The 15065-nt window shown below is 37.0% G+C and overlaps 1 protein-coding gene across 25 annotated transcripts in view; it reads left to right on the top strand.

The window, feature by feature from the left end:
• NEK10 (NIMA related kinase 10) overlaps positions 1-15065 on the top strand; it is a 262900-nt gene that overhangs the window by 204618 nt on the left and 43217 nt on the right. For 14 of the 25 annotated variants that reach the window (XR_001740034.2, NM_001394964.1, NM_001394963.1 and 11 more), the window contains 2 exons: positions 2028-2065; positions 2165-2305. Coding sequence is in view for 24 of the 25 variants with exons in the window: in NM_001394964.1 (NP_001381893.1) it covers positions 2028-2065; positions 2165-2305 (179 nt within the window). In the remaining variant the exon portion in view is untranslated. The remainder of the gene's footprint in view (positions 1-2027; positions 2066-2164; positions 2306-15065) is intronic. The other 11 variants (NM_001394969.1, XM_047447506.1, NM_001394967.1 and 8 more) reach the window with 1 other exon arrangement.

Raw genomic sequence — 15065 nt, 5'->3', positions numbered from 1 at the left:
AGAGTGGGATTCAGGAGGTATTGCAGGTTTAGCAGCTACATGGCATGAATGTAATAAATGTATGAAGACAATGACCAACACTTAAGGAAGGGCCTGGACCACATTGTTAAGTATGGAGGCCACTGGGCACATGTGACTCTTGAGCAGCTTAAATGTGGCCAGTGCAACTGAGGGACTGAATTTTTAATTTTGTTTAATATTAATTAAGATGTAAAATAATAAGATTTCAATTTGTATATGTTGAAATAATATTTTGGATATTTTTGATTAAATAAAATAGAATTATTTCACTTTATTCTTTTTACTTTTTGAAAATGTGGCTACCAGAAAACTTAAAATTATGTTTGATGCTTACAATCGGTTTCCATTAGACAGTACTAGCTTCATCTAGAAGGGTAAGGGGCAAAGTTATTCGGAAAGCATTTGCTGGGGTATGGCATTTGTGCAGGCATACAAGGAACTGGAACAGATGCTCTGCTCCTCAGCTCAGCCCTGGGGCTGTCCTGCCTACACATGGGCACTGCTGTCATCATGCCTCTTTTCAAACTTTCTGAGGGCAGGATCAGCTTCATTTCTTTTTTTAAACATGCTCCTTATCTCAGGTTAGGGAAAGTATATAAACTGTTAAAGGCTGGCAGGTTCCATTTACTTTTCAAGGCTCTGGAAACTTGAGCTCAGAATGGAACAAAATATATTATGAGATCAAGAGAGTGTTAGCCTGGTGAGGATCAAGAGGGAATGGAAAGGAACAGGGAAGAAACTCATAGGTGGATGCAAAGATTTTGGTATTATTCTAGTGCTTAAGTTGGGTGGTAGGTAAATGAGTGCCAATTTTGTTACGCTTAATAACTTAGGTAGGTGTTGCATGCATGTATCAAAAATTCTATGATTAAAACGAAAAGGTTGGGACAAGAGAATTATCAGCCATGTTTACTTGTATTTGAATTCCTATATTTATTCCTACTTAACAAATAACCTATCATGTGCCTTATACCTAGTACATGTATGATATATTTTTGTTGGATTTCATTAAGTTTAAGAATGATTCTTACAACTTGTCAGGGCACAGATGTTTCTTATTTCATTCCAGAAAACTATTAAAAACTTGGTTCTAGGCCGGGCGTGGTGGCTCACACCTGTAATCCCAGCACTTTAGGAGGCTGAGGCAGGTGGATCATGACGTCAGGAGATCGAGACCATCCTGGCTAACATGGTGAAACACTGTCTCTACTAAAAATACAAGAAAATTAGCTGGGCGTGGTGGCGGGCACCTGTAGTCCCAGCTACTCGGGAGGCTGAGGCAGGAGAATGGCGTGAACCTGGGAGGTGGAGGTTTCAGTGAGCTGAGATCGCGTCACTGCACTCCAGCCTGGGTGACAGAGCTAGACTCGTCTCAAAAAAAAAAAGAAAAATTGGTTCTAGGGTACAGTGGAAAAAACAAGGCTGAAGGTGATTTACAGATATCCCTGGTGGGGTCTAAGGCCACCTCCACAGAGTAGAAGACACTGAGACCAACTCGTAAAATGATCAAATAACCTAGAATTTTGGGGCAAGGCAAACAAGGGATGTTAATAACACTGGCAACTTTAGGAAAGATAATTATTTTCAATGCAAAAAACATTTTATAGGAGGAGGTATAAGGTTTTTTTTGTTTTTTTAATAGAGCAGGGACAAATCATAGAAAATACTATATATAACATTTTAAATCTTATATCCTTTTAGTGCAAAATCATATTTTGAGTTTAAGTGTAACTAGAAAATTATTCAGGATCCTAAAATTTAGGCTCTTAGTCATACTTAGAGCCTAAAAACTGTGGTGGGACGATTCTGTCATTTGTCAGTAGAATGTCAATTGTACTGTTTATTGCAATATATTTATTTCCCTCTTAATTAAACTCTTGAGAGCATCTTGAGGGAAAATAATCTCTATTAATCTTTATAATGTAGACCATAGCAAGATGTAGGCTCTTAGTTTGTCAAATCCAAGTTGAACAGGTCATTCTAATGGCCTGTAATTCTATTTTCAGGGACTTCACTGGAGGAACAGGATCAAGACCAAGACCAGGTAACTTAGTGTTGGTAGCAATAAAATCAAACACAACTCTCTAAAATTCAATGTAATTTATGTTACAGTTTCATATCTTTCCCCCTTTTATTTCTTCAGCTTTGCTGCCTCTTGACCTGCTTCTGAAAGTGCCACCCCACATGCTCAGGGCCCACATTAAGGAAATAGAGGCTGAGTTAGTGACAGGGTGGCAGTCCCATAGCCTTCCTGCTGTGATTCTTCGAAATCTCAAAGATCATGGTAGTACTTACTAGATCACATTGATGTTAAGCACACAATGGGCAAATGCAGAATTATAGTTGGGCCTGAGATGTCTGAACGATGCTTGGGTGGTAATTTTAATACAAAGAGCGGAGAATTCTGCCTTGTTTGTTCACCATTATTAGTTTGGCGATTTGATGGTAACAAAATGCCTTCTGTGTTCACTGTTGGTTGAAATATTATGGGCTGTTTTTTCCAAAATTTGCATTTCTGCCGTGGCGGGAATGTTAACCAGTTGACCTATTGATGCTTCAAGTACATACCTACAAACAAAAAATAGTAACCATGTTTTACATAGGTATTTCTGTAAACTCTACACCTACATGATACATGTAGAATGAAGAAAGTAAGTCATATTTTTTTCTATCTCCTCTACCCTTACACAAATAATTATCTTTTACTTATTTATGTTTCTTTTCTTTTCTTTTTTTTTTTGAGACAGAATCTCACTTTGTCACCCAGGCTGGAGTGCAGTGGCACGATCTCGGCTCACTGCAACCTTCACCTCCCAGGTTCAAGTGATTCTCCTGCCTCAGCCTCCTGAGTAGCTGGGATTACAGGTGCCTGCCACCATTCCTGGCTAATTTTTGTATTTTTAATTTAGATGGGGTTTCACCATGGTGGCCAGGCTGGCCTTGAACTCTTGACCTCAGGTGATCCGCCCACGATTAAAATGACATATCACATTGTTTCCCTAATAATTGAAAAATTATAGATCCTTAAACATAAAAGTTTCTAATAGAGGTTTGGGAAGAATGTGTTAATGTTTCTAATTTTTGTGAAAGAGGACCAAAGTCCATCAGTAACATTTAAATTATTAGCTAAACCTAGACAATTCAGAAAAAAGTTTGATGATTATGCTTTTATCATATGTGTGAGCATACAACTCTTGAGCATAGAGTTCTACTTTACTATTGGTTAATTTGGGATTATTGTTTAATGCTATTTTCACTTCAGCTTCCTTGATTCACATTCTTTTGTAGAGCTAATGTTTATAGTGAATATAGGCAAACTGACTGTAATGTTAGCCCATGTCTCCACATTTATTAAATTTGCTTTGGATGAGTTATTGACAGTTTGAGGCCATTACAATGTCAGCATAGATGCCAAAAATGATGGTTTTATTAAGATGCCTGAAACTATCATGTTGACCATGCTCTGCTCCTGTTATTTTGAAAAGGTAAGTTCAAAATATAATTATGAAATTAAGATGATTGTTATTAATTGATGTTCCAACAGCAAGAATGGAACACACATATATATGTAAGCAATTGACAGTTCTGTTGTAATCCATATTAGAAATTCTTTTTCCTAAACAGTATGTTGACTTAGTTCAGTGCAAGACTTGATTTTATGTCGGTGGCACTGATCAGATCTCTGGACCTTTAAACAAACTATTTACATTATGGCAGAGTTTACATACATTTCTTTCTTATCCCTACAGTTTGCTATATCATCTAATTCTTTAAAATCTGCTGATTCATATATTGTTAAAACTTGTATCAGAATACACAAAAGCATTTTTTATTTTTTTGAGACAGAGTCTCCCTGTGTTGCCAAGGCTTGAGTGCAGTGGTATGATCTCAGCTCACTGAAGCCTCCTCCTCCTGGGTTCAGGCAATTCTCCTGCCTCAGCCTACCGAGTAGCTGGGATTACAGGCGTCCACTACCATGCCTGGCTAATTTTTGTATTTTTAGTAGAGATGGGGTTTCTCCATATTGGCCAGGCTGGTCTCTAACTCCTGACCTCAAGTGATCTGCCCACCTCGGCCTCCCAAATTGCTGGGATTACAGATGTGAGCCACCACTCCTGGCCATTTTGTTATCAGTGAGTGCTAGATTTTGTACATAAAAAGAGTGGTTAGGTTTTGCTAATATTGTACAACACATTAATTCACAGGGAACATTTGGGTTACCACCTGAGAGTTACTCTACTTTCATGTCAGAAAATGAGAACTTTATTTTTCTCAACCTTCATATGAAGGTTTTTTCCATTAACTATAAAACTCATACCTTTTAAGTGTTGCAAGTCAATTTGGATGATTGGTTGCTTTATCAAATTATAAACAGCTGGTGCCAGTGCCATTCACTTAGGTCACCACATCTGCAAACCATGCTGTAATCCAGTCATTACCTTGGTATCTCTGTCTTAACTAAAGTATAGAGAAGTGACATTAATCTGGTAGTCCAACAATAAAGTAGTACGTTTGGACCAAGGTGTCATGAGACGTTGTTGGTCCTGTCAGTAGCGAGTTATACCTTAAGCATTTGTTATGAAAAATAGGTAAAGCACTTAAATTTGTGAATGATTTATTTTTTTAAAAAAAATAAGCTGATTATATTAGTGTATTTTCATTTACTTAACATTTGGTCTCGCTTTCTTGGATAGAAAGGAACATGTTGGAACTTATGCATAACCAACATTTACAGCCCTGTATTGCCTAAATGTTCCGGAAAAAGCAGAAAGGGGAGAATTTTGCCAAAATCAGAGCATTTCCCCAGGAATATATCTAGTATGTGAACATTATTTCCCATGTATTATGGCAGAATACAGGGTTGGAACCATTATTTTAGAGTGCCAAGTGCCTATATTGTAATATGATCTTGCCTGTATGGTACTCCTAAAAGCTGAACTTCTAGGTTCATGTCATGGTAATAACAGCAGTACCTCCAAACTCTTCTAGAACAAATAACAATGAAACTATTTTACATTACTTGTATTAAAAATCCCCTTGTTCTATCTTTTATTACTAAATTGTATCAATAATTTATTTTCTACAAATTATTTCAATTAAATAATAGATTGCAATTCCCTGCCAATAGAAAACTTAGGAATTCATATATTATACAAATGAAAATATTACCAGTAATTAATATGAATAACTGAATGAAGAAACATTTTAACATGTTAATTATTTTAGCTCTGTTTTCCCAGCTTTAGTCACTAGTGAATTACCATGGTACAAATTTGCCTATGTCTGAGAACTATATGTACTATAATTTTCCTGATATTTTTCTTTACATCGACTAACTCAATTTAAATTCATTTTTAGAGGAAAGTTGTTATTATTTCTGTAAATGAGAACCAGTATAGTATCACTTGCCATAAGTAGATAACCATTGTAAAAGTAAATACAAATCTAAGAAAGACAACATTAAATTCCAGGTAGATATTGTTTTCTGCTTATGCTGAGGTCTGTTGTCTTTGCTGTAAAGGAACATTACCTAATATTTGAGAAATGATGAAAACATACTTGCACGATACTGAAACTTAATCCTTGATATAAACAACAGAAAGAAAACTGTAAAAGGAATACGTTTCCTACTGGACTATTTCATACCTGATATACCTACTAATGAAATTAGGCTGTGTAGGTGTCCCCAGTTCTTTAAAAATAGATTGATTCTGTGGTCTGTAAAGTCAAATCAGTTAATCAAACAACTGGATATTACCAAGTATTTGGAATTGGGGAAAAAGGTCTCAGGTCTGTCTTGTATAAAAAAGAAATAATCGTTTCCTTTCAAGACAAGGGAAATGATATATATTTGTGAAAATTAAATCACACAAAAATATAACACAGGAAACGTGTTCTTTTCAAGTACATACTATAATGTTATGGATTCTATTAGTGTGGGTCAAATGTAAATTTTTGGGTGTGTAAGTCAAACCTAAATTTTCAAGTGCAAATATAATGTCAACTAAAAATCTGGCCTAATTTGACTGGATTAACACTGACATTTTCCCCTCCCTTGCTCAGGTTTTTATTTAGACAGCACCTGACACCCAGGCGCTGAACCGATGTATGGGTTCTTATGCACTGCATTTTGAATAGAAATTGTCACTTTATGATTTCTGGGTCCTTAATTATGTTTTCCTATTGGATGACTATGAATCTATTTTTATGTTTCCATTTTGTTAGTAAAGGCAAATCTAAATCAAATTGTCAATGTTTTTTATTTTTTGCTCAAATATTCTAGAAAGCATAGCTAACATTCTAGTTGTCCTTATACGAACAACTTTTAGTAGTTTACTTTCAAGTTAATTATTAACATAAAGTACTTAAAACTCATCTTCACAATTGCCAAAGTGATTTTAAGTACATACCTTCTTTTATTATGTTGCATAGCATTTTTAATCATATAAAAATTTGCTCACAGGTTTTAGTCAAAACTTCTATGATACTAGTCTATACTATATAATTTGGCATATAATTATATACATTGTTGGGATTTGTGAAGTATTAACTATGTTTTCCAACCAGATTGTAAGCACCTTCATTGCAACTTTGATAGATATAGGTGTATCTCACAGATATTGCAGGTTCCGTCCCGGCCAACAGCAATAAAGCAAATATCACAATTAAACATGTCACCTGAATTTTTTGGTTTTCCAATGCACATAAAGGTTATGTTTACACTATACTAAGTCTATTAAGTGCACAATAATATTATGTCTAAAAATATATATACTATAATTAAAAATGCCTTGTTGCTAAAAAGTGCTAAAGATCATCTGAGACTTTTAACAAGACATAATCATTTTGCTGGTGGAGGGTCTTGCCTCCATGTAGGTGGCTGCAGATTGATCAGGCTGGTGGTTGCTAAAGATTGGGGTGGTTGTAGCAATTTTGTAAAATAAGATAACAATGAAGTTTGCTCAATCAATTCAGTCTTTCACAAAAGTTTCTCTGTAGCGTGCGATGCTGTTTGATAGCATCTTACTCACAGTAGAACTTCTTACAAAAACTGGAGTCAGTCCCCTGAAACCTACTGCTGCTTTATGAACTAAATTTATAGACTATTCTAAATTATTTGTTGCCATTTCAACAATGTTCATAGCATCTTTACCAGGAGTAGATTCCATCACAAGAAACCACTTTTGTTGCTCATCCCTAAGAAGCAACTGCTCATCCATTCAAGCTTTTGGATGAGACTGCAGCAATTCAGTCACATCTTCAGTCTACTTCTAATTTTAGTTCTCTTGCTATTTCTACTACATTTGCAATTACTTCTTCTACTGAAGTTTTAAACCCTCAAAGTCATCCATGAGAGTTGGAACCAACTTCTTCCAAACTCCTGTTACTGTTGATATTTTGACCATTCATCATAATTTTTTAAATTTTTTAAATTTCTTTCCATAAGTTATTGGGGTACAATTCTTTAGTGGTGATTTGTGAGATTTTGGTGCACCCATTACCTGAGCAGTATACACTGCACCATATTTGTAGTCTTCTATTCCTCACCCCTTTCCCACTCTTCCCCCCAAGTCCCCAAAGTCCATTTTATCATTATCATGCCTTTGCATCCTTATAGCTTAGCTCCCACATATCAGTGAGAAGATACAATGTTTGGTTTTCCATTCCTGAGTTACTTCACTTAGAATAATAGTCTCCAGTCTCATCCAGGTCACTGCAAATGCTGTTAATTCATTCCTTTTTTATGGCTGAGTAGTATTTCATCATATATATATATATATATATATATATATATATATATATATATATATATATCAGTTTCTTTATGCACTCCTTGATTGATGGGCATTTGGGTTGGTTCCACAATTATGCAATTGTGAATTGTGTGGCTACAAACATGCATGGGCAAGTATCTTTTTTGTATTATGATATCTTTTCCTCTGGGTAGATACCCAGTAGTGGGATTGCTGGCTTAAAGAACTTTTAGTTCTTTAAGGAATCTCCACACTATTTTCCATAGTGATTGTACTAGTTACATTCCCACCAGCAGTGAAGAAGTGTTCCCTGATCACTGCATCCATGCCAATATCTACTGTTTTCTGATTTTTTGATTATGGTCATTCTTGCAGGAGTAAGGTGGTATCGCATTTTGGTTTTGATTTGCATTTCCCTGCTCATTAGTGATGCTGAACATTTTTTCGTATGTTCGTTGGTCATTTGAGTATCTTCTTTTGAGAATTGTCTATTCATATCTTTGGCCCACTTTTTGATAGGATTGTTTGTTTTTTACTTACTGATTTTTTTGAGTTTGTTGTAGATTCTAGATATTAGTCCTTTGTCACATTTATAGATTGTGAAGATTTTCTCCCACTCTGTGGGTTGTCTGTTTACTCTGCTGACTGTTCCTTTTGCCATGCAAAAGCTCTATAGTTTAATTAGGTCCCTGCTATTTATCTTTGTTTTTATTGCATTTGCTTTTAGTTTCTTGGTCATTAAATCCTTGCCTAAGCCAATCTCTAGAAGGATTTTTCTAGAATTCTAGAAGATCTAGGATCTTCTAGAATTTTTATAGTTCCAGGTCTTAGGTTTAAGTCCTTAATCCATCTTGAGCTGATTTTTGTATGGGGTGACAGATGAGGGTCCAGTTTCTTTTCCTACTTGTGGCTAGCCAATTATCCCAGCACCATTTGTTGAAAAGGGTGTCCTTTCCCCACTTTATGTTTTTGTTTGCTTTGTTGAAGATTGGTTGGTAAGTATTTGGGTTTACTTCTGGGTTCTCTATTCTGTTCCATTGGTCTATGTGCCTATTTTTATACCAGTACCATGCTGTTTTGGTGACTATGGCCTTATAGTATAGTTTGAAATCAGGTAGTATGATGCCTCCAGATTTGTTCTTTTTGCTTAGTCTTGATTTGGCTATGCAGACTCCTTTTTGGTTGCATATGAATTTTAGAATTGTTTTTTCTAATTCTGTGAGAATGATGGTGGTATTTTGATGGGGATTGCATTGAATTTGTAGACTGTTTTTGGAAGTATGGTCATTTTCACAATATTGATTCTACTCATCCCTGAGCATGGGATGTGTTTCCATTTGTTTGTGTCATCTATGATTTCTTCCAGCAGTGTTTTGTAGTTTTCCTTGTAGAGGTCTTTCAACTTCTTGGTTAGGTATATTCCTAAGTATTTTATTTTATTTTATTTTATTTTATTTTATTTTATTTTATTTTATTTTATTTATTTTTTTGAGATGGAGTCTCACTCTGTTGCCAGGCTGGTGTGCAGTGGCGCAATTTTGGCTCACTGCAACCTCCGCCTCCCGGGTTCAAGTGATTCTCTTGCCTCAGCCTCCCTAATAGCTGGGACTACAGGTGTGTGCTACCACACCCAGCTGATTTTTGTATTTTTAGTAGAGACAGGGTTTCACCATGTTGGCCAGGATGGTCTCGATCTCTTGACCTCGTGATCTGCCCACCTTGGCCTCCCAAACTGCTGGGATTACAGGTGTGAGCCACCACGCCCAGCCAGTATTTGTACTTTTTGCAGCTATTGTGAAAAGAATTGAGTTCTTGATTGGATTCTCCACTTGGTTGCTGTTGGTGTATAGAAGAGCTGCTGATTTGTGTACATTAATCTTGTATCTAGAAAATTTGCTGAATGCTTTTATCAGTTCTAGGAGCTTTCTGGAGGAGTCTTTAGGGTTTTCAAGGTAAATGATCATATTGACAGCAAACGGTGACAGTTTGACTTCTTCTTTACTGATTTGGATGCCCTTTATTTCCTTCTCTTGCCTGACTGCTCTGGCTAGGACTTCCAGTACTATGTTGAAGAGTAGTGGTGAGAGTGGGCATCCTTGTCTTGTTCCAGTTCTCAGAGAGAATGCTTTCAACTTTTCCCCACTCAGTATTATGTTTTCTATGGGTTTATCATAGATGGCTTTTATTACATTGAGGTATGTCCCTTGTATGCCAATTTTGCTGAGAGTTTTAATCATAAAGGGATGCTGGATTTTGTTGAATGCTTTTTCTGCATATATTGTGATGATCATTTGATTTTAGTTTTTAATTCTGTTTATGTGGTATATCACATTTATTGACTTGTGTATTTTAAACCATCCCTGTATCCCTGGTATGAAATCCACTTGATTATCGTGGACTGTCTTTTTGATATATTGTTGGATTTTGTTAGCTAGTATTTTGTTAAGGATTTTACCATCTATATTCATCAAGGATTTCAGTCTATAGTTTTCTTTTTTGATTATGTCCTATCCTGGTTTTGGTATTAGGGCGATGCTGGCGTCATAGAATGAATTAGGGAGGGTTCCCTCTTTCTCTATCTTATGGAATAGTGTCAGAAGGATTGGTACCAATTCTTTGAATGTGTGGTAGAATTCTGCTGTGAATCCCTCTGGTCCTGGACCTTTTTTTGTTGGTAATTTTTAAGTTACCATTTCAGTCTCACTGCTTGTTATAGGTCTGTTCAGGGTAACTAATTCTTCCTGATTTAAGCTAGGAGGTTGTATTTTTCTAGGAATTTATCCATCTCTTCTAGGTTTTCTAGTTTATATTCTTAAAGGTGTTCATAGTTACCTGAATGATGTTTTGTATTTCCATAGTGTCAGTTGTAATATCTCCTGTTTTGTTTCTTAGTGAGGTTATTTGGATTTTCTCTCTTTTCTTGATTAATCTTGATAATGGTCTATCAATTTTATTTATATTTTCAAAGAATTAGCTTTTTGTTTCATGTATCTTTTGTATATTTTTTGTTTCAATTTCATTTAATTCTGCTTTGATCTTGGTTATTTCCTTTCTTCTGCTGGGTTTGAGTTTGGTTTGTTCTTGTTTCTATAGTTCCTTGAGGTGTGACCTTAGAATGTCAGTTTGTGCTCTTTCAGTCTTTTCGATGTAGTTGTTTAGGGCTATGAACATTCCTCTTAGCAATGCTTTTGCTGTATCCCAGACCTTTTGATAGGTTGTGTCATTATTGTCATTCAATTCAAAGAATTTTTAAATTTCCATCTTGATTGTGTTTCTGACCCATTGCTCATTCAGGAGCAGGTTATTTAATTTCCATGTATTTGCATGGTTTTGAAGGTTCCTTTTGCAGTTGATTTCCACTTTTAGTCCACTGTGGTCTAAGAGAGTGCTTGATATAATTTCAATTTTTAAACATTTATTGAGGCTCATTTTATGGCCTATCATATGGTCTATCTTGGAGAAAGTTCCATGCACTGTTGAATAGAATGTATGTTTTGCGGTTGTTGGATGAAATGTTCTGTATATATCTGTTAAGTCCATTTGTTTCAAGGTATTTAGTTAAATCCATTGTTTCTCTGTTGACTTTCTGTCTTGATAACCTGTCTAATTGTGTCAGTGGAGTACTGAAGTCCCCGCTACTGTCTGTCTCATTTCTTTTTTTTTTTTTTTTTGAGATGGAGTCTCGCTCTGTCGCCCAGGCTGGAGTGCAGTGGCACGATCTTGGCTCACTGCAAGCTTCGCCTCCCAGGTTCACGCCATTCTTCTGCCTCAGCCTCCCGAGTAGCTGAGACTATAGGCGCCCGCTACCATGCCCGGCTAATTTTTTGTATTTTTAGTAGAGATGGGGTTTCACCATGTTAGCCAGGATAGTCTCGATCTCCTGACCTCATGATCTGCCCACTTGGCCTCCCAAAGTGCTGGGATTACAGGCATGAGCCACCGCGCCTGGCCATTCTCATTTCTTAGGTCTATTAGTGTTTTATAAATTTGGAAGCTCCAGTTTTAGGTGCATATATATTTAGGATTGTGATATTTTCCTGTTGGACAAGGCCTTTTACCATTTTATAATGTCCCTCTTTGTTTCTTTTAACTGCTGTTGCTTTAAAGTTTTTTTTGTCTGATATAAGAATAGCTACCTTGCTCACTTTTGGTGTCCATTTGCATGAAATGCCTTTTTCCACCCCTTTACTTTAAACTTTTGTGAGTCCTTATGTGTTAGGTGAATCTCCTGAAGACAGCAGATGGTTGGTGAGTTCTGATCCATTCTGTGGTTCTGTATGTTTTAAGCAGAGCATTTAGGCCATTTACATTCAATGTTAGTATTGAAATGTGAGGTGCTGTTGCATTCATTGTGCTATTTGTTTCCTGTGTACTTTTGTTTTTTTTTTGTTTTTTGGTTTTGCTTTTTAACTTGTATTTTTGTTTTAGAGGGTTTGATATATGCTTTAAGTAGGTGCTGTTTTGATGTGTTTCCAGGATTTGTTTCAAGATTTAGAGCTCCTTTTAGCAGTTCCTGTAGTGGTGGCTTGGTAGTGGTGAATTCTCTTAGCATTTGTTTGTCTGAAAAAGATTGTATCTTTCCTTCATATATGATGCTTAGTTTTGTTGGATACAAAGTTCTTGGCTGATAATTGTTTAGTTTGAGGAGGCTGAAGATAGGGCTCCAATCCCTTCTAGCTTGTAGGGTTTCTGCTGAGAAATCTGCTATTAATCTGATAGGTTTTCCTTTATAGGTTACCTGGTGCTTCTGCCTCACAGCTCTTAAGATTCTTTCCTTCATCTTAACTTTGGATAACAGATGACAATGTGCCTAGGTGATGATCTTTTTGCAATGAATTTCCCAGGTGTTCTTTGTGCTTCTTGTATTTTCATGTCTAGGTCTCTAGCAAGGCTAGGAATTGTTCCTCAATTATTCCCCCAAATATGTTTTCCAAGCTTTTAGAATTCTCTTCTTCCTCAGGAATACCAATTATTCTTGGTATTGGGTTGTTTAACATAATCCCAGACTTCTTGGAGGCTTTGTTCATATTTTCTTGTTCCTTTTTCTTTGTCTTTGTTCGAGTGGGTTAATTCAAAGACCTCGTCTTTGAGCTCTACTTGTTCAATTCTATTGCTGAGACTTTCCAGAGCATTTTGCATTTCTATAAGTGTGTCCAATGTTACCTGAATTTTTTATTGTTTTTACTTTAAACTATCTATTTCCCTGAATATTTCTCCCTTCACTTCTTGTATTGTGTTTTGGATTTCCTTGCACTGGGCTTCACCTTTCTCTGGTTCCTCCCTGATTAGCTAAGTAACTAACCTCCTGAATTCTTTTTCAGGTAAATCAGGGATTTCTTCTTGGTTTGGCTCCATTGCTGGTGAACAAGTGTGATTTTTGGGGGGTGTTACAGAGCCTTGTTTTGTCATATTACCAGGGCTGGTTTTCTGGTTCCTTCTTATTTGGGTAGGCTCTGTCAGAGGGAATATCTAGGGCTAAAGGCTGTTGTTGAGATTCTTTTGTCCCATGGGGTGTTCCCTTGATGTAGTACTCTTACCCTTTTCCTATGGATGTGGCCTCCTGTGAACTGAACCTCAGTGATTGTTGTGTCTCTTCTGGATCTAGCCACCCAGCAAGTCTACCCAGCTCCAGGATGGTACTGAGGGTTTTCTGCACAGAGTCCTGTGATGTGAACCATCTATGGGTCTCTCAACCGTGGGTGCCAGTGCCTGTTCTGGTGGAGGTGGTGGGGCGGGGGTTGCAATGGACTCCATAAGGGTTCTTTGGTGGTTTAATGCTCTGTTTTTGTGCTGGTTGGCCTCCTTCCGGGAGGTGGTGTTTTCCAAAGACCATCAGCTATGGTAGCATGGAGAGGGACTAGCGGTGTGTGAGGCCTTAGAACTCCCAAGATTATACGTCCTTTGTCTTCCGCTACCAGGGTGGGTAGGAAAGAACCATCAGGTGGGGGCAGAGCTAGGTGTGCCAGAGCTCAGACTCTCCTTGGGCAGATCTTGCTGCAGCTGGAGCATTTGGGGTGTCTCCTAGGTCCTGCAGGAGCAGTCTGCTTCCTTCAGAGGGTCTGTGAATCCTCTCAGGATTCCTAGTTTGTTCTTGGAGTTGATCTGGAGCTAAAATGCATACATGTTTTTAATGACATCTAGAATAGTGAATCCTTTCTGGGAGGTTTTCAATAGACTTTGCCTAGATTCATCAGAGGAATCACTATCTATTGCAGCTATAGCCTTATGAAACGGATTTCTGAAATAATAAGACTTGAAAGTCAAAATGACTCCTTGATCATTGGACTGCAGAATGGATGTTATGTTAGCATACATGAAAACAACATTAATATCCTGTACCTTCTCATCACAGCTCTTAGGTGACCAAGTATTTTGTCAAAGAACATCAATATTTTGATAGGAATCTTTATTTCAGGGCAGTAGATCTCAAGAGTTGGCTTAAAATATTCAATAAACAGAGTGCTTTCATCCAGGCTTTGTTGTTCTATTTATAGAGCATAGGTAGAATAGATTTAGTACAATTCTTAAGGGCTCTAGTATTTTTGGAATGGTCAATAAGCATTGGCTTCAACCTAAGATTACCTGTTGCGTTAGCTCCTAACAAGAGAGTCAGCCTGTACTTTGAAGCCAGGCTTTGATTTCTCCTCCCTAGCTATGAAAGTCCTAGATGGCCTCTACTTGCAATAAAAGGCTGTTTTGTCTACCTTGAAAATCTATTGTTTAGTGTAGCCATCTTCATCAGTTATCTTAGCTGGATCATAAGAAGATCTTACCTTGCTGCAACTTCTATATCAGCATTTACAGCTTTGCCTTGTACTTTTATGTTATGGAAATGGCTTCTCTCCTTAAACTGCACGAACCAACATCTACTACTTCTAGCTTTCCTTCTGCAGCTCTCTCACCTCTCTCAGACTTCATAGAGTTGAAGAGGGTTGGGGCCTTCCTCTGGATTCTGCTTTGGCTTAAGGGAATGTTGTGGCAGGTTTGATCTTTTATCTTCTAAATCTTTCTCTATATAAGCAATAAGGCTGTCATTGTTATTATTCATGTGTTCACTGTTGTAGCACTTCTAATTTTCCACAAAAATCTTTTCTCTGCATTCACAGCTTGGCTAACTATTTGATGCAAGAGGCCTAGCTTTCTGGTATCTTGGCTTTTGACATGCCTTCCTCACTAAGCTTTATCATTTCTGCCTTTTGATTGAAAGTAAGAGACATGTGACTCTTTTTTCCACTTGAACAATTAGAGGCCATTGTAGGATTATTAACTGGCTTAATCTCAGTATTGTTG

Source organism: Homo sapiens, chromosome 3 (genome assembly GCF_000001405.40).
Source record: "Homo sapiens chromosome 3, GRCh38.p14 Primary Assembly".
Classification (NCBI taxonomy): Eukaryota; Metazoa; Chordata; class Mammalia; order Primates; family Hominidae; genus Homo; species Homo sapiens.
Note: the sequence above shows the minus strand (reverse complement) of the source record. Positions and strands in the feature narration are given on the sequence as shown.